The 27,897-nt window shown below is 37.8% G+C and overlaps 1 protein-coding gene across 9 annotated transcripts in view, besides 1 other annotated feature; it reads left to right on the top strand.

Annotated features, from left to right (window-relative positions):
- Positions 1-27,897, top strand: part of DNAH12 (dynein axonemal heavy chain 12) — a 262,335-nt gene that overhangs the window by 121,727 nt on the left and 112,711 nt on the right. For all 9 annotated transcript variants that reach the window (XM_047447667.1, XM_011533468.2, XM_047447668.1 and 6 more), the window contains 10 exons: positions 480-663; positions 801-941; positions 4,534-4,617; positions 5,487-5,675; positions 9,167-9,286; positions 12,602-12,790; positions 14,790-14,941; positions 18,744-18,882; positions 20,396-20,562; positions 25,773-26,028. In XM_047447667.1, coding sequence (XP_047303623.1) covers positions 480-663; positions 801-941; positions 4,534-4,617; positions 5,487-5,675; positions 9,167-9,286; positions 12,602-12,790; positions 14,790-14,941; positions 18,744-18,882; positions 20,396-20,562; positions 25,773-26,028 — 1,621 coding nt within the window. The remainder of the gene's footprint in view (positions 1-479; positions 664-800; positions 942-4,533; positions 4,618-5,486; positions 5,676-9,166; positions 9,287-12,601; positions 12,791-14,789; positions 14,942-18,743; positions 18,883-20,395; positions 20,563-25,772; positions 26,029-27,897) is intronic.
- Positions 16,987-17,162: a silencer, noted in NCBI's record as "fragment chr3:57402873-57403048 (GRCh37/hg19 assembly coordinates)". NCBI's record gives its function as "represses an EF-1alpha promoter that drives an FKBP-Casp9 reporter gene in an ReSE screen in both phorbol 12-myristate 13-acetate-treated (for megakaryocytic differentiation) and untreated K562 erythroleukemia cells {active_cell/tissue: K562 | K562(+PMA)}" and the evidence as "EXISTENCE:reporter gene assay evidence [ECO:0000049][PMID:32094911]".

Here is a 27,897-nt window from a genome sequence, read left to right as displayed (position 1 = left end):
GGAAGTAATGCCCATCATTTCCATTTATTACCCGTTGGTTAGAACTAGTTACCTAGTCTTTCCACAAGAGGGCCAGAAATCCTATATGTGCCAGGAGGGAGGAGATCCAGAAATAGTTGGTAAAGAACACTAATAGTTTTATGGCAAGTGAAGACTTTGGGAATATAAATCTTTCCCAGTTCTCTCCTTAGTGGGCTTCAGGTTTAGTTTTTTTAAGAGTACACAGATAATAAGTTTTCATTGTCATTTGGAGATTGTTTATTATATTCCCTTTTGGAGAAAATAATATTACAGTGAAGAATTTGATTTGTAGTCAATCAGTTCAGAAATTAAATATGTTTTCTTCATGTCTGAGAAAAATTCATATGATTTCAAAAATTATAAGTAGTAATTATCACAGGGTAAAGTTTTATATACTGATATAAATTATTTAACTCTTTAAAGACTCTTATTGTATAATTATTTCTTTTCCTTCATAGTTTTATGTTAGTAGGAGAGCCTTTTGCTGCTAAGACAAAAGTTCTGCATGTGCTGGCGGATACGCTAACTTTAATGAATGAACATGGCTATGGAGAGGAAGAAAAGGTCATTTATAGAACTGTAAACCCCAAATCTATTACTATGGGCCAACTTTTTGGACAGTTTGACCCAGTGTCTCATGAGGTAACCTAAATATAAGTATTCCCAACTCTCTTATGGAAAGTGCCTGTTAAAACAAGAAACGTGAAGTATTTTCATAGTTTTACTCCTAAATCTAATTTTATGAGGAGAGCTTTTTAATTCTTTTTTTTCCTCCTCAGTGGACTGATGGTATTGTGGCTAACACTTTTAGAGAATTTGCCTTATCAGAAACACCTGACCGGAAATGGGTTGTATTTGATGGTCCTATTGACACTTTGTGGATAGAGAGCATGAACACAGTATTGGATGATAATAAAAAGGTAAATCATGATCAAAAGAGAAGCAGATTCAGCCATGATTAAGCAATTTTATGTGTTCAGCAACTAAACTAGGACTCTATTTAAAATAAAGGATGCAAAAATAAAGGATGCAGCAAGTTGAGTAGGTTTATAAATTCTCTTTTCAATGAAAACTGCTATAGTAAGTCCTTGGGTTAATTTTTTTTTTTTTTTGTAGAATGAAAGTATATTGTATTAAAATTACTGTGTTAGCCAGAAGACATAGTAATCTAGGGTGAGAATAAGTTGTTAAGTGACTTCAGTCTTATGGTTTCTTATAGAACTTCAGTATTTTAGGATAAAATAACAAAAGCCTAATTCCTTTTGAAAACATGGAATGCTTCAGCGTTTATATACAGTATATCACCTTCGGCGCTATGAGATATACAAAAGAACTAGAAAGTGAAAGTATTCTAATATTTATTTTAATTGAGAGACAACATATATAAGGTATAAAATGTATACCAATTTCAAGTGTAGATTCTATGATTTTTAAAATGTGTTTGTATACTCACATAATCATCACCTAAAAAATGACACATGAAATTTCCTATACCCTACAAGGTTCACTCATGTTCCTTCCTAGTTTGTTTATCTTCCTCCAGAGATAATCACTCTTCTGACTTCTATGATGAATTAGTTTTGCCAGCTCTTGAACTTAATACATTGGAATCATATTCTTCAGTGTTTTTTTTAAATCAATATATGTGTGATGTTCATATTACTGTAGTTCAGTTTTGTTAACTTATTTATGTCTATATTAGTATCCTAGTGTGTGAATATATCACAGATTATTTCCATACTTACATGAAATGACTGCCCTACTAAATAAACAAACTCATTTAATTAGCATTTAAAGATACACTCAAGGCCGGGCGCGGTGGCTCACGCCTGTTATCCCAGCACTTTGGGAGGCTAAGGCAGGTGGATCATTTGAGGTCAGGAGTTCGAGACCAGCCTGAGCAACATGGTGAAACCCTGTCTCTACTAAAATACAAAAAAAAAAAAAAAATTAGCTGGGTGTGGTGGCGCGCGCCTGTAATCCCAGCTACTCAGGAGGCTGAGGCAGGAGAATCACTTGAACCCAGGAGGCAGAGGTTGCAGTTAACCGAGATCACACCACTGCACTCTAACCTGGGCGACAGGGCAAGACTCCATCTCAGAAAAAAAAAAAAAAAAAGATATACTGAAGTACTTTATCATAGGTGGTTAGTCATTCACATTCCTTCTTTCATGCATTCAGTAATATTGGTTGAGCTTAGGGTAGAAAGTAAATAGAGAAGAAGCAGGAAGGTTATTCTAATTGTAGAGTGAAGTCTAAGGGTTCAGAGCCAAGCAGATGGATTGTCTCTTACTGCATGAGAGGGAATTATGAAAAGACAGCTATAGGTGAGTGTATGGATTTGACTGTGGAAATTTGAAGGCAAATCCTTGTGATGATTTCTCTTTTCTTCGTGAAGTGATGGGCCTTGGTTCTTTGCAAAATTGAGGATAAAAGAAGAGACTTAAATTAGCCTTTGTGGAAGATGGGAAAGAGAGCTACCTAGGAAAACATAGAAGCACTTCTGGGTAGCACTGAGAGCCTGATTGAGTGGAAGACCATAAATTATCATTAGTAGTACCAAGGTCTGCCTTTGTGAGGTACTCTCTACCAGTCTAAGCAGCTTAGGCATAGGTAATATTGTAGGCCTGGAAATATAGTAAGACTTCAAAGTTATTGACATGAGAATGGTAGAAGCATTAGACCATAGGACAAAAGCTGCCTAATGAAAGAAGTGAAAACATCAGGGATGTGAAAATATTGGGAAAATGAGGAGCAAGTGTAGTAGGAGACAATGAATGAAATAACTGGATGGATTGGAGGCTGTGGGCAGAGACTGAGATACATGAATTTAATATTTCAGAATTGTGTATTATTTCTGGAGAGAAGGTCCCAGATACATAAAGTGGACAGCTGGAGTGGAGCAAGGTGGTCAAGGATCTGATGGGCAGCTGTGTTGAGATTCTCAGTCTTTATAAACACTGGATCAGGCCAGAGTTATAGTAGAGAGTGAGATTAGGCCATGTCCCAAGGACTTTAGCTATTGAGGAGGGAATCACTGAGTACTGTTGAGTGGCAGGGAAAAAACAGGGGTTGTCACTGGGGGTGGAATAGAAGTAGTTGGGAAACAACACAGGGCAGTGAGGAGAATGCTGACCCTACCTTTCAAATTTGTGCAGAGTTAGGAGGATGTTTGCTGAAATAATCTGGTCAAAGATTAAAAGTATTCTAGACCAGCATGTCCAGTAGAACTTTTTACAATACTGCAACTATCTGTGTTCTCTGAGAAGGTAGCTACTAGTCACATGTGGCTACTGAGCATTTGAAGTGTGGATTAGTGCAGTTGAAGAACTGAATTTTAAATTTTATTTAGTTTTAGTTAGCTAAAATTAAATATAAATAGCCACATATGGCTAGCAGCTACCGTATTGGACAATCCACCTCTAGATCATTCATTTTACAGCTAAGAAACGGAATCCACAAATGTTAAATTTCTCATTGTTGACATGTGACTAGATAGGGGAAAAACTGGAACTAAAGTGATGATTGTAAAAGCAGAAAGGAAACACTGAAAACTAAATGTACAAGAATTTAAAAGACTTAGTAATAAAATTAATTTAGGTATCAAGTTAATAATAATAATACTATTAAAAGTTAATGATAATTCCATAGCTGCAAGCCAAAGAGATTGAGGAGATAGGATGGCTTTAATAATAGACAAGACAGAAATTTGAGGGAAAGGAAGCAGTTGATAAATTCAGTTTTTGACATATTTGATAAAAGAAGAAATGTTTTAGATTAAGAGACCAAGGAGACATAAAAAACTCAATGCATAGTCTTTGATTGAATTTTGCTTTAAATAAATCCATTGAAAAGACATTTCTGGTACAACTGAGGAAATTTGAGTATTGACTGAGTATTAGATGATAATAAAGAATTATTCATTTTGTTAGGTGTGATAATGTTATTGTGATTACATAGAAAATATACTTATTTTTTGGAAACATAGGCATTTGAATGTGAAATGCCATGATGTGATGTCTATAATGCTCTTTAAACTGTTTTTTTAAAAAGGTAATGGCAATATGGCAAAATCTTAACATTGATTAAATCTATGAGCTGGGTATAAGAGTACGCATGCTATTCTCTATTTTCTATTTTTTAATTTAATAAAAAGGTCTATGGTCACTTTATAAATTCAGGAGTATTTCACTTAATTTTCTTAATAGCCGATATTTGTATAGGATTTTATAGGTTTTGGACTTTGTCTTATAGTCCCCCTTCCTACAATTCTACAAGAGCACTATTATCCCTGTTTTATAGATGAAGAGACTGAGACTCGGAGATGTTAAGTATTTGCTTAAATACTTAATAATTAACAGGGCTAGACCTAGAATTAAGATTTTCTGGCTTCCATTCTAATTCTTATTCCATTATATCACAGGAGCTACTTTATTTTATACATAGTATAAATTTTTATCTGAGAAACTTGAAATTTTAAAAAATAAACATTTGAAAAATAATTGCTTTTAGCTTTGCCTTATGAGTGGAGAAATCATTCAGATGTCCCCCCAAATGAGCCTCATCTTTGAAACAATGGACCTTTCCCAGGCATCCGTAAGTTCATAATTTAATACAATGGTGGTTTGTTCATTTCTTCATTCTTTAATTTAGCCAATAAGTATTTTTTATTATATGTCAGAAAATGGGTTAGGCACTAGGAATATAAAGATGAATAAGACACAGTGTATGCTTGTTTAGGGAGGATGAGAAGCATGTTAATAATCCCATTACACAGCTACATGTTAGTGCTTTAAGAGTGTGAAGAGGATGGCTGGGCACGGTGGCTCACGCCTGTAATTCCAGCACTTTGGGAGGCTGAGGCGGGCAGATCACCTGAGGTGGGAAGTTCAAGACCAGCCTGACCAACATGGAGAAACCCCATCTCTACTAAAAATACACAATTAGCCAGGCATGGTGGTGCATGCCTGTAATCCCAGCTACTTGGGAGGCTGAGGCAGGAGAATCGCTTGAACCCAGGAGGTGGAGGTTGCAGTGAGCCGAGATGGTACCATTGCACTCCAGCCTGGGCAACAAGAGTGAAACTCCGTCTCAAAAAAAAAAAAAATGTGTGGAGAGGAGTGAGCATCTGTGAGGAGGATGGATAGAGGAGCACCATGGAAGGTAACTGAGTGTTTGATCTGATTTTGAGGAAGATGTAAGACTTCTCCAGGGAGATTGGATTTGGAAATCCTAGGCGTTTCCAGATCGAGATAATGTTTAAAGACATGGAGCCTTTACATATCTGGGGAACTGAACTGCAAATAGTTTTCTGTATGGGGAACGTCTAGACTGTGTGAAGCTATGTGAAGCAGATGGGAGCTAGATTATAAAGGATCTCATAAGTCATCTTAAGAAATAGTTGATAATTGCCAGGTGCCACTGGTATAAAAACAACAGTGCAAAAAGTTGCCTTTTTTCTCTAGCCTGCCACTGTAAGTCGTTGTGGTATGATTTATTTGGAGCCTTCACAGTTAGGATGGGAACCACTTGTGTCTTCTTGGTTGAATTCACTGAAAGGACCTCTGTGTGAACCAGAATATCAAGCTCTTCTGAGAGGACTTTTTGCCTGGTTAATACCACCCTCTTTAAACCAGCGTAAGAAAAAATGCAAGGTAATCCTATAATTCTCTGACCTATTCAAGTTTCTTTGTTTCCATTCAACTTGACTAAGTCTAAAGTCACAGTGGTTGGTAGAATGAATAACTAAAACCAGTTTGTCCTTATGCATTTACTATCCACCGTTGGTTTTATATTGCTTAAGTTATAGCTGCATAACTCAGGGGTTGAATTATTCCAGCTAAACTATTTGTATACAACCATAGTGTCTAAAATTTTAAAAATTCTAATTACTTTCCGTATTTCAAATTATTTTAAATATGTGCCTCTAAAAACTCAATGTACATTTAGTGAGTTTATGAGTTATTCAATATTTAGTATTTTATGAGAAAACTTTACATATTGTATTAGCTTCCCAGGGCTGTCATAACAAATTGCCACAAACTTGATGGCTAAAGCTACAGCCACGGTGGCTCACTCCTATAATCCCAGCACACTGTGGGAAGCTGAGGTGGGCGGATCACTTGAAGTCAGGAGTTTGAGACTAGTCTGGCCAATATGGTGAAACCCTGTCTCTACTAAAGATATAAAAATTAGCCGGGCATGGTGGTACATGCCTGTAATCCCAGCTACTCGGGAGGCTGAGGCAGGAGAATCACTGGAACCCAGGAGATGGAGGTTGCAGTGAGCCGAGATCACGCCACTGCACTCCAGCCTGGGCGACAGAGCAAGACTCCGTCTCAGAAAAAAAAAAACCCCAAAACCAAAAAACACCCAAAAACCAGAAATTGATTCTCTCACAGTTCTGGAGACCAGAAGTCCAAAATCAGGATGTTTGTAGAGGGCTATACTTCCTTGGAAGCTCTAAGGGAGACTCTTTTCTTACCTTGTCCAGATTCTGGTAGCCTCAGGTGTTCCTTGGCTTGTGGCTACATAACTCCAACTTCTTCCATCTTCACATGGCCTTCTTTTTATTTTATTTTATTTTTGAGATGGAGTCTTGCTCTGTCTTGCTCTGTCACCCAGGCTGGAGCGCAGTGGAGCGATCTTGGTTCACCGCAACCTCTGTCTCCCACGTTGAAGCAATTCTCCTGCCTTAGCCTCCCGAGTAGCTGGGATTACAGGCACATGCCACCACACCCAGCTAATTTTTTTTGTATTTTTAGTAGAGACATGGTTTCTCCATGTTGGCCAGGCTGGTCTCGAACTCCTGACCTCAGTTGATCCACCCACCTTGGCCTCCCAAAGTTCTGGGATTACAGGCATGAGCAACCGCATCCGGCCAATCTTCACATGGCCTTCTACTCCACATGTCTCTCCTCCATGTGACAGTTACAAGGACTTGGATTTAGCACCCACTAGATAATCCAGAATGATGTCTTCCTCCTGAGATTTTTAACTTAATTGCTTCTTCTGAGACCTTTTTCCATATAAGATCACATTTATAGGTTCCTCAGGTTAGAACATGGAAATATCTTTTTGGGGACCATTGTTCAACCATTTCCACCATCTCCTACACACACACACACACACACACACACACACACACATTCGCTTCTTACATATAAATAAATATATTGATATACAGAGGGGAAAGAGATACTCAGTTTTATCCTAAAATGTTCTAGGCATAGAAAAAAGTGCCATTTAAAAGAAAAAAATGAGCAATTCCACTTTATGAAGATTCTGTATAGTGTCTTCATAGAGAAAATAGACAAAGTCCCTTATAGTTTTAAAACTCTAATGCTATATATTATAAATAATACAAAATAGGCTTCACCTTTCCACATAATGAGTAATGGATTTTCTTCTCATAGTTCTTTCTCATCCAGTCCCCAGATTTTTTTTTTTTTTTTTTTTCTGAGACAGTCTCTCTTTATCTCCCAGGCTGGAGTGCAGTGGCACTCCACCTTTCAGGTTCAAGTGATTCTCGTGCCTCAGCCTCCCAGGTAGCTGGGATTACAGGCACAATTACAGGCGTGCACCACAACACCTGGCTAATTTTTGTATATTTTTTTTTTTGTAGAGATGAGGTTTTGCTATGTTGGCCAGGCTGGTCTCTAACTCTTGGCCTCAAGCAATCTGCCCACCTCGGCCTCCCAAAGTGCTGGGATTACAGGCATGAGCCACCTGGTCCAGGCCCCAGGATCTATTGATTTTCCCTTCTTGATAAAGTTTATACCTGTTTTCTTTCCATCCCTGTTTCTGCAGCCACCTCCTCGCCCCACCCTTCCCGTTATAGTATCTCAATTCTGACCATCATCACTTCCTACCTGAATCAATACCATGCAGCTGCTCTGGTCCAGTCTGTATCCTGCTACAGAATGAAGTTTCCAAAACACAAATCCTTTCTGTTTATTCCTTTATTTAAAACCCTCCCTTGGAACTCTCTTCCTCTTGTAATTAAATCCTTAATACAGCATATAAAAACCTTTTAGGATCTGACTCTTGTGTATTTCTCAAGCCTAATTTTTGGGCATCCCTCCTTCATACCCTATTTTCATATCCTACAGAATCCCCTTAATAATCTGTGTCTGCTCACATCTCCATTTCTTTGTATACATTCCCCTGCCTTGAATATCCTTCCCTTGTTCACCTGGCAAACTTACATTTTCCTTCCAAATTCAGCTCAGCTATTATTACTTCCTCCAGGAAGCCCTCTTTGGTGTATCTCTCTCCCGTTTTCCTCCTTGTGCACTCCTCCAATTGTTTATCCCAAGCACTCTAGCAGCCGCCTCCTACCCTGAGACTTTCTCTGTCATATCATTATTACATCATATTATTTTTGTCTATTTAATTTTAATATCATCCATTTTTAGGGATTCTTTTATTTCCATATCTCCTAGCTTGCCACATAGGTATAGTATGTTTTTCATAAATGTTTGTTGAATAAATAAATGAATGGCTCTTAGAGACTTCATTTCTGCTATCCTTAGAACACTGTTTATTCTCTTGCAGTAGCTAGTTTTCATTTGTCAGAGAATTTAGAATGTATTATGTGCGATTGTACAATTGTTATGTATAATTGTGTAATATAATATGGGAAACTAAAATATTTGAGAAATGTTTTATCATGCCTACTTAAAGTTTTTAAGTTTAAATATTATAAAGACCTTATGAGGCTAGTTGTGGTGGCTCATGCCTGTCATCCCAGCACTTTGGGAGGCTGAGGCAGGAGGACTGCCTGAGTCCAGAAGGTTGAGGCTGCACTGAGCTGTGATCACACTACTGCACTCTAGCCTGCGTGACAGAGTGAGAGCCTATCTGGGAAAAAAAAAAATAGCCTGGTGGTGCTCACCTATAGTCCTAACTACTTGAGAGGCTGAGGTAGGAGGATCCCTTAAGCCCAGGAGTTGGAGGCTGCAGTGAGCTATGATTGTGCAACTGGGCTCCAGCCTGGATGACAGAGTGAGATCCCATCTCAAAAACAAAAAAAAAGACCTTATTAAAACCATGTATGCTTTTATCAGTTTTTAAAAATAAAGTGTTTTTCTTATTTTCTAAATAAGATGAAAATTAAGAAAGTTATCTTATTTTCACCTTGCAGGAACTGATTCCTACAAGCAACAGCAACGTGGTTGTATCTCTCACACGCCTCTTTGAAGTGCTACTTTGCAATGTGGTAGAAAATGATCCTACTAGCAAGCACATTCGTGTTTGGATTATGGTTGGTTTTATACTTCATGTAGTTTTTAATTATAAATAAATTATGCTTCTGGTACATGATGTTTATATTGAGAAAGACATGACAAGATCCAAAGCTATTTTTTGGTGAGCATTGAAAGAATAGCTGGAGACACTAAAGTTGCCCTAACACCTGGTATTCTGATAATAAAAAACACTTTAAAGAAATTAAAATGTCACAAGGAACCAAAACTATCTTTTTTTTTTTTTTTTTGGAGACAGGGCAGAGTCTCACTCTGTCACCCAGGTTGGAGTGCAGTGACGTGATCTCAGCTTAATACAACCTCCACCCCCCACCTCCCCCAGGTTTAAGTGATTCTCCTCCCTCAGCCTCCCGAGTAGCTGAGATTACAGGTGACTGCCACCACACCTGGCTAATTTTTGTATTTTTAGTAGAGACGGAGTTTCACCATCTTGGCCAGGCTGGTCTTGAACTCCTGACCTCGTGATCCACCCGCATCGGCCTCCCAAAGTGCTGGGATTACTGGCGTGAGCCACCGCGCCTGGCAACTATCCAATTTTTTTTTTTTTTTTGAGATGGAATCTTGCCCTGTTGCCCAGGCTGGAGTGCAGTGGTGCGATCTCAGCTCACTGCATCCTCTGCCTCCTGGGTTCAAGTGATTCTCCTGCCCCAGCCTCCCGAGTAGCTGGGATTACAGGTGCGCACTGCCACACTGAGCTAATTTTTTTTATCTTTAGTAAAGGCAGGGTTTCACCATGTTGGCCAGGCTGGTCTTGAACTCCTGACCTCAGGTGATTCGCCCACCTCGGTCTCCCAAAGTGCTGGGATTACAGTTGTGAGCCACCATGCTCGGTCAACTATCCTATTATGAAAGATTATAATTTGATCAACAATAAAGTGATTTAATATTAAACAAATTTGGACATTAGGTGAATTAATTTTATTAATTAATGTTAAGCCAGCATTTAGGCAACATAAAAGCTAGCTATGAAAGACCAGGAGTAGGCTGGGTGCCGTGGCTCATGCCTGTAATCCCAAAACTTTGGGAGGCCAAGGTGGGCAGATCATTTGAGGTCAGGAGTTCGAGACCAGCCTGGCCAACATGGTGAAACCCCATCCCTACTATAAATACAAAAATTAGCCAGGCGTGGTGGCAGGCGCCTGTAGTCCCAGTTACTCAGGAGGCTGAGGCAGGAGAATTGCTCCATCTCAAAAAAAAATAAAACCAGGAATAGGCATCCAGCCAGCTAGGTGGAGTGTTGGAGGCAGAATCCATGGAGGCCTCAGGTAGGGAGAAGTCAGTAGTCTTGGTTAGCTAGGCCAGAGGGAATGGCACAAGTAAACAGATTATCAAGAGCCTGAGGAAAGAGGTTTTTAGTGTCTTTTTCCTGGTCTATGCTGGTTTCCCATGCACCACCTTATTCCTAAATGCATTGATCTCCTCCCTCTCCCCTCACAGCATAGCAGTTCCCTCCCATTGTTTTTCCTTCCATTTGCTGCCCAAAGTATCTGCTGCCTCAGACATCTCACATTCCAGGGTTTCCTGCTAACCAAATCCCTTCCTTTTGTCCTCCTTTTTCGCCTTTATATCCTTCCGCTTTAGAAGATATTGAACAGACATGTTTGAAGTATAATTTATTTATTCCTTTTTCTCCCTAGGTTTGGAACCGCCTTTTACAAAACTAAGTTTTAGCTTTCTTCCATATCTATCAGTGTTACTGTTTATAAAAGTATCATGGGAATAGTTTACCTATATAACCTTCAAGTTGCATTTTTCCTGAACATTTTATTCTGTTGGTAAACCTAAAACCTAAACCTTTCAAGTGGTTCAGAATCACTTCAAGAGAGTTATACAGATTGATATCTAGGTGAAATTTTTCTCTGAATATATATTTACTTTTGGACTTGATAAGGCATGTACCTAGAGTAAAATTCAAAAGGCAAAAGTGGGTTTTCCCCACTTTTCCATAGCAGTCCCCCAGCCACACTGAAGGCAGCTAATATTGCCGGTGCCCTATATAGAATTCTAGAAGTATTTTATGCACACACTCTTTTACATGTATACATTTTTAAATACATTAGCATACATTGTCTACTGATTTGCATCGTTTCTCTATTGTAATATGTCATTTTCATATTAGTGCTTATAGAGTGACCTTGTTTTTTAACAGCTGCATGTATTTCAGTGTATTAGCAGAATCCAATTAAGCAGACCATTTCTGAAGAACAATTTGGGTTGCTTTTGATCTTTTGCTATTACAAATAGTGCTGCAGTGAATATTCTTGTACATGTGTCATTTTCACAGGTGGAAATATATTTGAGTATAAACTCCCACAAGAGAAATTCCTAGGTTATTTGGTAAGGACATTTTATTTATTTATTTTTGTTTTAAAAAATATTTTGTAGAGATGGGGTCTTACTATGTTGCCCAGGCTGGTCTCAAATTCCTGGCCTCAAGCAATCCTTCTTCCTTGGCCTTCCAAAGCTCTGGGATTACAGGTGTGAACCACTGTACCCAGCCAGTATGGGTATTTAAAATTTTGTTAGAGGCCGGGCGCGGTGTCTCACACCTGTAATCCCAGCACTTTGGGAGGCTGAGGCGGGCAGATCACGGGGTCAGGAGATCGAGACCATCCTGGCTAACATGGTGAAACCCCGTGGTGGTGGGCGCCTGTAGTCCCAGCTACTCGGGAGGCTGAGGCAGGAGAATAGCTTGAACCTGGGAAGTAGAGGTTGCAGTGAGCTGAGATCGCACCACTGTACTCCAGCCTGGGTGAGAGAGTGAGACTGTCTCAAAAAAGAAAAAAAAATTTTTTTTGATAGATATTGGGCCAGGCACGGTAGCTTATGCCTGTAATCCTAGCACTCTAGGAGGCTGTGGCAGGTAGATTGCTGAGTCTAGGAGTTTAAGACCAGCCTGGGTAACATAGCAAAACCCTGTCTCTACTTAAAAAGCAAAAACAAAAAATTAGTCAGGCTTTGTGGTGTACCCTGGTAGTCCCAGCTACTTGGGAGGCTGAGACACCAGAATCACCTGAACTGGGGAGGTTGAGGTTGCAGTGAGTTGAGATGGTGCCACTGTACTCCAGCCTGGGCAACCAGAGAGAGGCGCTGTCTCAAAAAAAAAAAAAAAAAAAAAGACATGCAAACATTTTGATAAAAATTGTCAGAGAAATGACTATGTGGCTTAGCAGTGCTCCATTCTACTTTATTTACACTTACGACCTTGTTCAAGTAAGTTGAGCATATCCTAATATATTGAATTTTGGTTAATGTTTCTCCTAAAATGCCTTTTAAAATAATTGCTATAAGTTAAATTTTTTCTCCACCAACAGGCTTGCTTTATATTCTCTTTGATTTGGTCGATTGGAGGAAGTTGTGATACAGATGGCCGTCGTGTTTTTGATACTTTCATACGATTAATCATACTGGGAAAAGATGATGAAAACCCAGTGCCAGATTCTGTGGGTAAATGGGAATGCCCATTTGATGAAAAAGGCCTGGTCTATGACTACATGTATGAGGTATGACATAAAAAGCTTGTTATGGTAAGATAAAACACAAAGGCTTAGGCCAGCAGACAAAGCTCCTGGGTTTTCATCCTAGAGTTATTTTGACTCCTGCGGTGAGCTTTTTAAGCTCCCTTCTTTTAGTTTCACCTCCCATAACTTATTGGCTGTATAAATAAATTTGCTTTAATAATATTTTTATAATTTCACATTTAAATTAAATTTATTTTTCCATTTTATTAAATAATTCCCCAAAGCATTTTTTAAACAGCAAGTATTTGAATAATTATTTGATTCATACAAATTTTATTTCATCCCCCATAAGATCTAGATAGAGCATTAGTTATAATTTCACTTAAATCTCAAGTTTTATGATAAGGAAGTAAACCTAAAAAGATTAATGGCTAGCAGAGCCAGAACTTGACTCAAGTTCTCCTGACTGACAGTGCAGGACCCTTTCCCCAAAACCATGCTAACACAGAATTTTAAGAATCTGGCCAGAAAGAGAGTTTCATCCTCATTAGCCATAGCGGGAAGTCAATAAAGTAATCTCTAAAAGTGAAAAAAGAGGTGGTAACACAAGCATATTCTTTATTTCTTTCTTTTTTTTTTTTTTTTTTTTTTGAGACGGAGTCTTGCTCTATTGTCCAGGCTGGAGTGCGGTGGCGCAATCTCGGCTCACTGCAAGCTCCGCCTCCTGGGTTCAAGCCATTGTCCTGCCTCAGCCTCCCGAGTAGCTGGGACTACAGGTGCCCGCCACCACGCCTGGCTGATTTTTTGCATTTTTAGTAGAGACGGGGTTTCACCGTGTTAGCCAGGATGGTCTCAGTCTCCTGACCTCGTGATCCACCCACCTCAGCCTCCCAAAGTGCTAGGATTACAGGCGTGAGCCACTGCGCCCGGCCCACAAGCATATTCTTTAAGAATCGAAAATAAATACCAAACTATCCAGCTTAGAGAAGGTGAAGGTCTCTAGGAAAGGGAAAGTGACAGTAGGGAAATGCTGTTTTTCTTAACCTTGTAAATCTTTTGACTGTAAAATATGTACATATATAATGTTGATAAAAATAAAAGCTAAAACTTAAAAAAATACAAATATGAATTACTAAAGAAACATTCACCCAAACTTACAAAGTTACCACAATTCAAACATGTAACATATACGTGTACAATTTGCTGGAAAATAGGAAAAGATTGTGAGATTCCAGCCACAGCTCTGGAATCGGGTCTTAGGGGGCTACTTTGGCAGGTATTAAAACTTTTTTTACTTAACAGTGGAAGGGCTGGGGTTCTCCAGGGAGGGGTCAAAACAACCTGCAGAAGAAGATAATGGTTGGGGGTGGAGTGAAGATTGGGAGGCACTCAGGGGTGTCAGGACAGCAGTTATTTAGCCAGTGATTCAGAAGAATTTCAGTATCATAACAATTAATACAGCTATGCTGATATATATCCTGGTTGTTTCAGCCTGGATCAAAATGCCAAAGAGAATAATGTTAGAGAAACAAATATAGTGGTTTTATGTGATATTTTATTTTTAGTTAGATTATTGCCCATTTGTTTTAAAATATAAAAAAGTAAAGCCAAAACCCAGGAAATTGTAACTTGAAGTACATTAGAGTGGCTTTCAAATAAATACTCAATGTATGCAAAAGGACATCTTGAAGGCATTTGGGGAATATTGGAGTGTTAAGAAGACATAAAGGCAAAAGTATCTGAAATGTTAGATATGTTGAATATGTGATAACAAAAGTTACATTATATTTTTCAGGTTATTAAAAATGAAAATTGAAAAAATATATTTTTTAAATTGGTGTTTTCATGAATGCTTATTTTATTAATCTGCTTATGACTTAAAATATGCTATATGTGTTCTTTTATGTGAATGTAATATTTCATTAAAAGGGGGAAGACTTAAGTTTTTAAAAGCTAATATAATAGTATACATGTTGAAAAGAGCCTTTCAGATACAGCAAGTACATGGTTTTAATATTTTAAAACTTATATTTTCTTGTAGTTGAAAAACAAAGGTCGCTGGGTCCATTGGAATGAATTAATTAAAAATACTAATTTAGGAGATAAACAAATCAAGATTCAAGATATCATAGTCCCTACGATGGACACAATTAGATATACGTTTCTAATGGATTTGAGTATTACCTATGCAAAGTAAGGAACTCTGCTATAAACAAGCATTTTGAATGTAAAAGTACCATTTTAATAGGATTATGGCAATTTTTGAAGTATTCGAGATCATCCCTTTTCAGGTAACTGAAATCCTGGGGGACTTGTTGGCATGTTGAAAGTGACATCTGTTGCTATTGGCAAACCTGGAATACACATTTCCCATTGCCCACTCCAAAGCCCTTGCCATCATACTTTGCTGCCTCATAAGTTGCCTTACATTTTTGATTTGTAACAGCACACTGAAAGCCTGCTGCTGTGTTACTGTTAAAAAGGTATGCAGTCTAATTAAAGATTCAGCGTACTCCTGAGACATCAAAGTAACCATGATCCACATTCTCCTATTACATTTAGCATTTTTCACCTATGTCCTATGCCAGTTCTGGATTCCATAACTTAAGGTGAATATTAAAAACTCAGAAGAGTCCATCAAAAGTAAAGACACATGAAACTGATCAAAAGCCTAGATGTGTACTGTTTGCATATCCATACCAACTTTCTTAATAACATTTAATAGTTATTTTTCTTTTAAAACACTAGGTATAATTTACCATTCATACTATTTAAACTAGACAAGTTTATATAATCATAAATGTCATTTTTTTGATAAAGAAGCTGTTCCTGAATGCATTCTGTGACCAATTTTATCTCATTTAAAAAAACAAAAAAACAGGAAAAATAGCTTATGAGGGAAAATTAGTTTACCCCTATTTTGTGTCCGTAGTTGCATTTTTGCATTTAGAAGCTAAGCAAGGAAGACAATTGCCAATTCTGTGACATTTCTAGTATAGCAGTTTTTTGTTTTTTTTTTTGAGACAGGGTCTCACTCTGTCACCCAGGCTGGACTACAGTGGTGCGATCACGGCTCACTGCAGTCTTGACTTCCCAGGCTCTAGCGATCCTCCCACCTCAGCCTCTCAAGTAGCTGGGACTACAAGCATGCACCACTATGCCTGGCTTTTTTTTTTTTTTTTTTTTTTTTTTTTGTAGAGACAGGTTGCCCAGACTCATCTTGAACACCTGAGCTCAAGCAATCCACCCACCTCAGCCTCTCAAAGTGCTAGGATTACACCGTGCCTGGCAATACAGTTCTTTTGTGCCAAGAACCATTTGTCAGAATAATACTTTTAAATAAGTACAAATAGAATTATAAAGTAAACCATATATATATTTATTTATTTGTTTATTTATTTCAGACAAGTCGCTTGCGCTCTGTCTCCCAGGCTGGAATGCAGTGCATTCCAGCATCTCTGCTCACTGCAACCTCTGCCTCCTGGGTTCAAGCACTTCTCCTACCTCAGCCTCCTGAGTAGCTGGGATTACAGGCACCTGCCACCACGCCAGGCTAATTTTTTGTATTTTTAGTAGAGTCGGGGGTTCACCATATTGGCCAGGCTGGTCTTGAACTCCTGGCCTCAAATGATCCATCCACCTTGGCCTCCCAAAGTGCTGGGATTACAGGCTTGAGCCACCGTGCCCAGCCTGTTTTTTTCTTTTTATATCGAAATACATTTATGAAAATATTGAACATATTTGGGCCATAGTAGTAATATATATATGTTTCTTTATTAACACATTAAATAACAAGATCTGTCAGTGGATCTGATGACTATAATACCTTTGAAGAAGGAATGGGCATGAGTGATATTTTTGAGATACTGTAACAATTGTAATGTGTAGGATAATAGCTATGATTTCTACTGGTGACAAAGACACAGGTACTATTCATACAATTGCTACATTTTAGAGGATAGCAAAAAGTAAAGGTATAACATTTTTGTCATTCAAGTTCACAGATTCTCTGAATTCTATGAATGTTTTTAGTTGGCTCATGGACCCCAAGTTAAGAACAGAAATTTATTAATACTATTTTAATAAATTTTCATAGAGCTAATGTTACTCAGACTGGAACATGTAGATGAATTCTCAGGGGTCACTCTGTTTCTAAAAGAACTTTAATTTTGTGTTCATATTTCAGTAACAGTTTTCAAAATTAATACTAGCATAGTTTGGCTCACTTAGATGACCCCTTAGAACTGAATATGGCTATTACTCAGTTTCAGTGCTGGCCTTTGTATTTGTCTTTTTTTAAATTTTTTTTTAGAAGGTGTTTCACTCTTCTTGCCTAGGCTGGAGTGCAATGGCACAATCTCAGCTCACCACAACCTCTGCCTCCCGGGTTCAAGCGATTCTCCTGCCTTAGCCTCCCAAGTAGCTGGGATTACAGGCATTTGCCACCATGCCCAGTTAATTTTGTATTTTTAATAGAGATGGGGTTTCTACATGTTGGTCAGGCTGGTCTCGAACTCCTGACCTCAGGTAATCCACCTGCCTCGGCCTCCCAAAGTGCTGGGATTACAGGCGTGTGCCACCGCGCCTGGCCTGTGTTTGTCTTTATGTATTGTGTAGTAACAAGTTATCATTCAAAATGATAGTATTTTATTTTTAATGCAGCATTTCTCAAACAGGGATTCTCCAGAGTTTTGTGAACATAAACTCATATGATTACTTTTCCCCTTAAAATTAGTTATGATCATTTAAGAATGGGAAACCTTGCTTGAATTCCCCATTCACTGAATGGGGAATTCCTTAGAGTTTGCTTTTGGACAAATATTTTCAGTTTGTAATTGAATTGATTTAAAAATGCTGTTAACAGTATACATATACATAACTGTTAGCTTTAGAATTGACTGTCATTCCATCTCTCACAAAACCTTTGGCTATTGAGATCACTGGGAAACAGCCTACAGCTAGCTGTCTTATTGTCATCCCCTTGTTATTCACATGCTGCCCCCATGTCTGTACCCTAAAAGTACAAATACAACTCTTTTCTGAGGAGACAGACTTTGACTTTCTGCTCTGAAAAGTTAAGCATATTATTACTTGTTTCATAAGTGTTTTATATATAGCGATATTACATCTATTCAAATAATAGTTTATTACTATTAAAGTATCTATAAGGCTGGTCCCAGTGGCTCCTGTCTGTAATCCCAGTGCTTTGGGAGGCTGGGACAAGAGGATCACTTGAGGCCAAGAGTTTGAGACCAGCATGGGCAACATAGCCGGGCCCTGTCTCTTTAAAACGTTAAAAGTAAAAAAATTAGCCTGGTGTGGTGGCATGCCACCTGTAGTCCTAGCTACTTGGGAAGCTGAGGCAGGAGGATCACTTGAGCCCAGAAGTTCAAGGCTGCAGTGAGCTATGATTGTGCCACTTCATTCCAGACTGAGTGACAGAGTGAAACCTTATCTCAAAAAATAAAAATAGATCAAGCATGGTGGCTCATGCCTGTAATCCCAGCACTTTGGGAGGCCAAGGCAGGTGGATTACTTGAGGTCAGGAGTTCAAGACCAGCCTGGCCAACACGGTGAAACCCGTCTCTACTAAAAATACAAAAATTAGCCAGGTGTGGTGGTGCATGCCTGTAGTCCCAGCTACTTGGGAGGCTGAGGCAGGGGGGTTGCTTGAACCTGGGAGGTGGAGGTTGCAGTGAGCCAAGATCACGTCACTGCCCTCCAGCCTGGGGAACTAAGTGAGACTCTGTCTCAAAAAAAAAAAAAAAAAGAATAAAAAATAAAAAGACACAAAATAAAGTCTCTGCAATGTTGTGCAAAAATATATGCCAATCATTACTTTTATCTGTCTTTCATGAAATAACTATAGGTAAAAATGAGTTTTTAATGAAGATGATTTGATTCTTATGTACACTTTTAACTACCGCCTCCTTTAGTAGAAATGTATTCTGACTTTTTTTCCATTTTGAATAATATATTCATTGTTTTCATTAAGGCCACTCCTTTTTGTGGGTCCAACGGGTACAGGAAAATCTGTGTATGTGAAGGATAAGCTAATGAATCACTTGGAAAAGGACCAGTACTTTCCTTTTTATATTAACTTATCTGCACGGACCAGCGCCAATCAGGTTCAGGTTAGTTTAAAGACAGAAATGGGGGTCTATCGTTAATTTTTTTGTCTTATTTGCTCAGTGTTTAAAATTGTACATTAAATAAGCAACTGTGTAAATCTATGAATTTAAAACTTTCAAATGTTTGGGGAGTTACAAGTTTTTGGAATTAATGATACAAGTTTCAGAGAACATTTTTACGTTAATAGTGGGTTACTGAGCTTTATCACCTGTTTTTTTTTTAAGCCTGAGAAGAAGCAACGATTTCTTAACTGGTAAAGGGAATATAAAAGACACACACACACTCACACACACACAAACACACACATAGGGTGGGGCAGGGGTGGGGAGACCCAGGGAGAAATGAGAGAACTTTGAATTGTTCTCTCAAGACCCTCCTGGATGGTCATTAGGGGCATTTGCTGCTCCCTGGACCTTTCAAACCATGGGCCTGTGACAGGAACCATGTGAGTGCATCCTACCCTTTGCCCTCAAATGTGTCAAGGTGAAACTGACCTTGACACATTTCATGAAACTGTTTCTAATTGCCGTTTTTATCATACATTTCCAAATTTATACCTATCCATTCTCTCCTGGCCTCATTTCTGTTGTTTTAAGTCTATGTTCTTCACTGAACTTCAAAATCTTACAAATTTAGAACTCCTTTACTGTGGAGCTTTATTTGAATGAAAATAATTTTGGTTTATTTTTCCAATGGACAAGTGAGTTCCCAAAGTATTAGAACTATAAGAAAGCATCCACATTTATTTTAGCTATAAAAAGCTGCCAAATGTAAAGATTAATGCATTTAAATATTAAGTAAGTTAAAATTAATAGATACATTGTTGAGTACGGATGGACACAAAGAAGGGAACAACAGAAATCAGGGCCTCCTTGAGAGTGGAGCGGGGGAGGAGGGTGAGGATTGAAAAACTGCCTATTGGGTACTATGCTTATTACCTGAGTGATGAAATAATCTGTACACCAAACCCTCACAACACACAATTACCCATATAACCTGCATGTGTACTCCCTGAATCTAAAATAAAAGTTGGAAAGTAAAATTATTCAGTGAAGAAAAAAATAAAAATATGTTGGTTATCCAGTGAGGAAAATATTGTAGAAATTTTGGTGACACTTGTAGAAATGTTGTAGAAACATGCATATACTATACAAAGATAATACATAAATATACATGTGTAACAATTGTGAGTGCATAGGATTTCAACAAATGTTTGAATGATGTTGATTGTGAAGTTTAGTATCACCCTAAATATGAATAAATAAAAACACACACATAATGCTGCTTGGTATGATTTCCCTACAGAAACTTAAACTTTTTTTTTCTGGTGTTAAATATGGTATTTTATGTTAAGTTAATCATTGATAAATTAAGCAAATAGTAATTGTTACTGGTAAAAATCCCATGGATTCTGGCAAAATGGGTTGTTTTACTTGTTGATACTGATTTAATATAAGTATGATAAATCCCTAATTCAATTATAGGTAAATATACCATTCTTCCTTCATATTTTAGAACATTATCATGGCTAGATTGGATAAAAGACGCAAAGGAGTCTTTGGACCACCTATGGGAAAGAAGTGTATAATTTTTATAGATGATATGAATATGCCTGCATTGGAGAAGTATGGAGCTCAACCACCTATTGAATTATTACGACAGTTTTTTGACTGTGGACATTGGTAACTATTTAATTCGATAAGTTATGCTGAAGTTATACCTCAGTTTTTATTTTAGGTTTTTAAAGTAAAATAATACATTTTTCAAGATATTTAGGGAAAAGAATAGTTGCTCAGATTTTCCTATACATGAAGCCTCTCTAATATATTTCGAAAAGACTATTTTAAATTAAGAGGAAGGTACAGAGATTTCCTGTATACTCCTTGCCCCCCGACACATGCATAGCCTCCTCAATCTCAACATCCCCACCAAATTGGCACATTTGTTACAAATGATAAGCCTGCGTTGGTATATCACAATCACCCAAAGTCCATAGTTTACTTTAGGGTTTGCTTTATGTGTTGTACATGCTATGGGTTTGGAGAAATGTATATGATATGTGTCCATCATTATAATATCATACAGAGAATTTTCACTGCTGTAAAGATCCTCTGTGTTCTCTTTTCATTCCTCCCCCAACTTCAGCCCCTTTGTAAGAGATCCATTAATTTCTTTTTCTCTCTATAGTTTAACCATTTTCAGAATGTCATATAGTTGGAGTAATACAGTATATAGCCTTTTCAAATTAGCTTCTTTCATTTAGTAATATGCATTTGAGTTTCATTCATATCTTCTCATGGCTTGATAGCTCATTTCTTTTTAGCACTGAGTAACATTCAGTTGTCTGGTTAACCACAATTAACTAATCCATTAACCTACTGAAGGACATCTTGGTTGCTTCCAAGTTTTCAACAATTATGAATAAAGTTGCTATAAACATTTGTGCATAGGTTTTACATGGACATAAGTTGTCAACTTCTTTGAGTAAATACCAAGGAACACAATTGCTGAACAATATGGTAAGAATACGTTTAGTTTTGTAAGAAACCACCAAACTACCTTCCAAAATAACCATACCATTTTGCATTCCCATCAGGAATGAATGAGAGTTAGTGTTGCTCCACGTCTTCTCTGGCATTTGGTATTGTCAGTGTTCTAGATTTTGGCCACTCTAATGAGTGTGTGGTGGTATTTCATTGTTTTAATTTGCATTTCCCTGATGACATACGGTAAGAAGCATCTTTTAATATGTTTATTTGCCCTCTCTGTATCTTACTTGGTGAGGTGTCTGTTAGGGTCTTTGGCCATTTTTAAATTGGGTTGTTTGCTTTCTTATCATTTAGTTTTAAGAGTTCTTTGTATATTTTGGATAATAGTCCTTTATCAGATGTGTCATTTGCAATTATTTTCTCCAAGTCAGGCCTGTCTTCTCATTCTCTTGACATTGTCTTTGGCAGAGCAGAAGTTGTTAATTTTAATGAAGTCCAGTTTCTCAACCAATCTGTTGGTGTTGTGTCTGAAAAAGTCATTGCCATACCCAAGTTCAACTAGGTTTACTCCTTTGCTATCTCCTAGGAGTTTTATAGTATTGCATTTAATATTTAGGCCTGTGATCCATTTTTAGTTAATTGTTGTAAAGGGTGTAAAATTGTGTATAGGTCAATTTTTTACACGTGTATGTCCAGTTGTTTAACGATATTTGTCTTTTGCTAAAAGACAGGGGTCTTGCTATGTTGTCAAGGCTGTTCTCAAAATTCTAGCTTCAAGCAATCCATCTGCCTCAGCCTCCTAGGTAGCTGGGATTATAGGTATGAGCCACTGTGCCCAGCAGCATTCCTTGAAAAGACTATCTTTGCTCCATAATATTGCCTTTGCTCCTTTGTCAAAGATTAGTTAACTGTATTTATTGGGTCTATATCTGGGCTCTCTATTCTGTTCCATTGACCTATTTGTCTGCTTTGCCAGTACCAGATTGTCTTGACTACTGTAGTTTTATAGTAAGCCTTAAAGTTGGGTGTGTCAGTCCTCTGACTTTGTTTTTCTCTTTCAATAGTGTTGACTAATCTGGGACTTTGGCCTCTCCATATCAACTTCAGAATCAGTTTCTCAATATCCAAAAAATAACTTGCTGGGATTTAGATTGGGATTGCGTTGAATCTACATGTCAAGTTTGGAAGGACTGTCATCTTCATAATATTGTTTTCCTATCCATGAACATGGAATACCTCTTTTTATTTAGTACTTCGATTTAGTTCTTCAGGGTTTTACAGTTTTCCTCATATAGATCTTCTATATATTTTGTTAGATATATCCCTAAGTATTTCATTGGGGGTGGGTGCTAATGTAAATGGTGTTGTACTTTTCTTTCTTTCTTTTTTTTTTTTTTTTTTTTTTTTTTTTTGAGACAGTGTCTCACTCTGTCACCCAGGCTGGAGTGCAGTGGCATGATCTTGGCTCACTACAACCTCTGCCTCTGGGTTCAAGAGATTCTCCTGCCTCAGCCTCCCAAGTAGCTGGGATTACAGGCATGTGCCACCATGCCCAACTAATTTTTGTGTTTTTAGTAGAGACAGGTTTTCACCATGTTGGCTAGGCTGGTCTTGAACTCCTGACCTCAAGTGATCCACCTTCCTCGGCCTCCCAAAATGCTGGGATTACAGGCATGAGCCACTGTGCCTGGCCCAGGTGTTGTACTTTTAATTTCAAATTCCACTTGTTTATTACTGGTATGTAAAAAGGTGATTGAATTTTACATGGTAACTCTTTACAAGCTTGCTATAATTGCTTATTAGTTCCAGGAGTTTTTTGTAGTTCTTTGAGATTTTCTTTATAGATCATCATGTTATCTGCAAACAAGGATAGTTTCATTCCTTTCTTCCCAGTCGGTATACCTTTTTTTTCATCTTATTGCTAGCCCTTAGTATGATGTTGAAAAGAAGTCATGAGAGGGGACATTTTTATCTTGTTCCTGATGTTAGTGGGAAAGCTTGGAGATTCTTACCATTAAGTATGATGTTAGCTGTAGGGTTTTTGTAGATATTCCTTACCAAGTTGAGGAAGTTACCTTTATTCCTAGTTTACTAGGACGTTTTTGGCTTTTTTTTTTGCCTTTGAGACAAAGTCTTGCTCTGTCACTCAGGCTGGAGTGTAGTGGCGTGATCTTGGCTCACTACAACCTCCGCCTCCCAGGTTCAAGTGATTCTTATGCCCTAGCCTCCCAAGTAGCTGGGACTACAGGTACACACCACCACACCCGGCTAATTTTTGTATTTTTAGTAGAGACGGTTTTGCCATGTTGGCCAGGCTGGTCTTGATCTTCTGACCTCAAGTGATCCACCACCTTGGCCTCCTAAAGCACTGGGATTACAGGTATGAGCCACCACACCCGGCCTGGAGGATTATTAATTGGCCTAACTTCCATACTGTTTATCTCAAGGAATAGGAAGGTCTGAGAAGAGGGAGAGAGATGGGGAACAGCCAGTCAGTGGAACAGTCAGAACACACACAATATTTAATCAGTTAAGGTTTTCTTCTTATGTAGGTCAATTCATGGTGCTCCAAAACAATTACAATAGTAACATCAAAGATCGCAGATCACCATACCAGATATAAAAAAAATGGAAAAGTTTGAAATATTGCAAGTATTACCAAAATGTGACACAGAGACCAGAAGTAAGCAAATGCTGTTGGAAAAATGGTGCCTATAGACCTGCTCAACACAGGTTTCTAAAAACTTTTTCAGATTGTAAAAAAACACAGTATCTGCAAAGCTTAATGAAATGAAGTGAAATAAAATGGGGTATGCCTGCACTTTTCAACTATTAGTTTCAATTATTGAAAATAATTTACAGATTACATCCTTCAAAGTACCATTCCCCCAAGTCAAGAATTTGTGGGTAGTGCCCAACCTAAGTAACCATAATCAGCACCCTATTTTTCTACCATGTTTTTAACTGTATGTTTTCTGTGGCTGCTTGGAACTACCTACCATATCTTTGAGATGGCTTGTATTTGACAGCAATCTCATGGATAACCCTTCCATTCTCCCCACACCAATTTATGGTGATATGGTTAGTTTCTCACATGTAAGATATAGCACCTTTTAATTAGGATGAATAATTCTTCCTTTCCTCCTCTTAAATGTACTTTTCTATTCCTCAGTATGCCATGATTTTTATCTCAAGACAAGGGTAGACGAATTTCAAAGCTAAGTCATATTTTACAGTTGCATTTTTGTTATTACTATAGGCCCTAGGAATTCTGCTTTCAGGAGATAACCATTGTTGAGATAATCACTGCGATTATCTCAGAAGATAGTCACTCTCCTGAGTTAGTGATTATCAGGAGATAATCACTATTCCTCAGTGATTTTTTTCTATATAAGTCTATTTTTATGTGTAAAAATAGGCTCATATTACATGTAATATTTTGTAAATTATTTTACACTTATATATTTATCTCAAATAGCCATATCAGTGCATATTTGTCTACTCATTCGTTTTATTGGCTTTAATATTATGTGGATGTCACCGTAATTTACTTAGCTGGTCTTCTATTGTTGATTATTAGGGTTGTTACCAAAAACCATATTTTCATACTTTCTAGCATGCTTTTAGTCTAAGGACTGGCTAGATAGACTCCTACCCCAGCCTCTGTATGTATATGTCTGTGTGTGCAGTAACTTCAGTATTAGAGACTTGATGGCTTATTGACAATAGCAACCTTTTACTCTGAGTGGTTCCAGCTAAATTATGTCATTTCCTATTTATTTCTGATTAAAACTTCTTTGAAATTTCATTTTTCCCTAATGGGTCCCTTTCTATAACAAAATGTATAGATCCTATTTAGACATCTTTATCCACTCTGAAGATACAGTTTGAGATGAGAAAAAATCAGGACATTGCTATAACCAGTTTTAGTATATAACTTAGTGTTCAAACTGTGACATTTCTGGAGTAAAAGGGGAGTGTTATTAATAATTACTTCGGTACAACAAGCACAAGCCAGAATTGTCCTAGGTAAAATGAGATATATAGTCACCTTATCTATAAACAGCTACAAATAGGATTGATCACTCATCCATGCTTCTAGATTTGGAATAAGAAAGGAGAAATGGAGAGTCAAACTGTAAGGAAGAGTAGGAGGAAAGAGAGGGAAAAGTAAGAGGGAAGGGTCATTCCAGATATCCAAAATCTGGGTAGCAGAATCAGTCACTGAGGGGAGAAACCAAATTCTGCTTTAAAAAAAATTTCTCTCCTACTCAAAGTGTTATCTGAAGTTATTCCTTTTAGAGAAGCTAAAATCTGATTAAATTTCTTGGGAGATCTATATTTCATCCCATCTTAATGTCTTTATAACAGATAATCTAAATTTTTTGTGTGTGCTTTCTAAGGTACGACCTTAAGGACACAAGTAAAATCACGCTGGTGGACATAGAGCTGATTGCTGCAATGGGCCCTCCAGGTGGTGGAAGAAATCCAGTTACTCCCCGTTGTATTCGACATTTCAACATCTGCAGTATTAATTCTTTTAGTGATGAAACTATGGTCCGAATCTTCTCATCTATTGTAGCATTCTACCTTAGAACTCATGAATTTCCTCCAGAGTACTTTGTAATTGGGAACCAGATAGTCAATGGGACTATGGAGGTCAGTCAATAATGCAATGTAAATGTTTTAGTATTACATATTTCCCTCATTTGGCGCTTATTTTATTTTTTTGATGCTATCTGCTTTGGTCTTTGGTGTCAGAGAAACTGTTTAGAAGACCAGAGAATAGGAAGATCACAGGATTTGAAATGAGGGAATCCAACTTGGGTTGAGCCTTGACTGCTATTTCCTAGCTATATGATTTTGAGCAAGTAATTTGACATTCCAGAGGCTGTTTTTTTAATGACTAAAATGGAATAAAACACCTATTTCACAAGGTTGTTATAAGGAAAACATCTAAAACTAGTATCTGCCACATCACAGGTATTTTTCTATTAGGTTCCTACTCTGGTACTTGTCGTTTTTTCTCTCTATCTTCCCTCCCATTTTGCATGCTTGTCTTAAAGAAATTTAAGCAGCTTATGAATACATTACTTTTAGTCAGACCACATAATTTATAAGTAGCAATGAAAAAATAATTATAAAAGAGAAATACAAGGGTAGAAACAGACAACAAGACTCCCCATATGGCCAAAGAACAGTTTTTAACTTATTTCGGGTGTGTTATTTGCCTCTGTTCAAAGACTAGAGCCAGCCTCATCTCTAATGGTAAATGGGAAACAATATATTTAAAGGCACGTCAGTCATGATCTTACCAAACTACACTTTCTAGAAGCTTCATAAAGCAAGTTTCATTTTGTGATCACTGCAACAGGAAGCAGAAAACTCCCTAGAATCCTTCCATCCATTTCCAAGAACATCAATCTTCTAAAATTCTCCCCTTGTTTCAGTGGAAAGTGTGTGCTGTTCAAGTAAAGAAACTACTATGAGCAAAGAGATAGTACATTTGTTCTGATACAGAAAAGTGCTTCTATTTATAAAACATAATATTTCTATTTCAGGCATGTCCTGGAAAATACAGAGGTGTTGGTCAGGTAGAAGGGGATACAGAAAGCATCCCTGCCACCTCCCTACCCCCGGCTTTTTTTTTTTTTTTTCTGTCTTTGAAGCATTATAGACCTACCATGTGTGGAGGTTGGAGCAGGGAGATGAATCACAGAACACATACAAATAAAAAACGTTGGCTGGGCGCAGTGACTCACACCTGTAATCCTAGCACTTTGGGAGGCCAAGGTGGGCGGATCACAAGGTCAAGAGATTGAGACCATCCTGGCCAACATGGTGAAACCCTGTCTCTACTAAAAATACAAAAATTAGCTGGGCGTGGTGGTGTGCACCTGTAGTCCCAGCTACTCGGGAGGCTGAGGCAGGAGAATCACTTGAATCCAGGAGGTGGAGGTTGCAGTGAGCCAAAACCTCACCACTGCACTCCAGCGGGGCGACAGAATGAGACTCCATCTCAAAAATAAAAAAAAAGTTTTTTTGTTTTCCTTTTTTGACTATATTATAAAAGGCTTAATTCACCTTCCTTTAAGAGAACGTTAAACTTCATTTGGTGAATTCAGTACATAGTAAAAATATACTTCATTTCCTTAAAGCCAATTTAGATATAAAGAAGAAGGGGGGTGAGGGAATAAGAGATAGAAGGGAAGAGAGAGAACAAATTGATTTATTTTGAAGTTGATTGTAGTAACAAGAAAATTATTTCATCTTCCTCTTCATTTGGAATGATTCAGCATGAGTTATCTGATTTCCCTTTCTCTGAAAGATTTTGTTTTTCACTATTTAACCTCAGATTATTCACCTTTAAATGGTGTAACCATAATAACTGGGAAATAAAAGTAGAGACAGGTTTCCACTTGGATGGGCTGGGCTTGGATGGAATCGGATATTAAGTTCCCTCAAGTTAATAATGCCTGGTTGAGTGCTATAAGCCAAAATAAACATATATGCCATGCTAAGCTTAGT

Source organism: Homo sapiens, chromosome 3 (assembly GCF_000001405.40).
Source record: "Homo sapiens chromosome 3, GRCh38.p14 Primary Assembly".
Lineage (NCBI taxonomy): Eukaryota > Metazoa > Chordata > Mammalia > Primates > Hominidae > Homo > Homo sapiens.
Note: the sequence above shows the minus strand (reverse complement) of the source record. Positions and strands in the feature narration are given on the sequence as shown.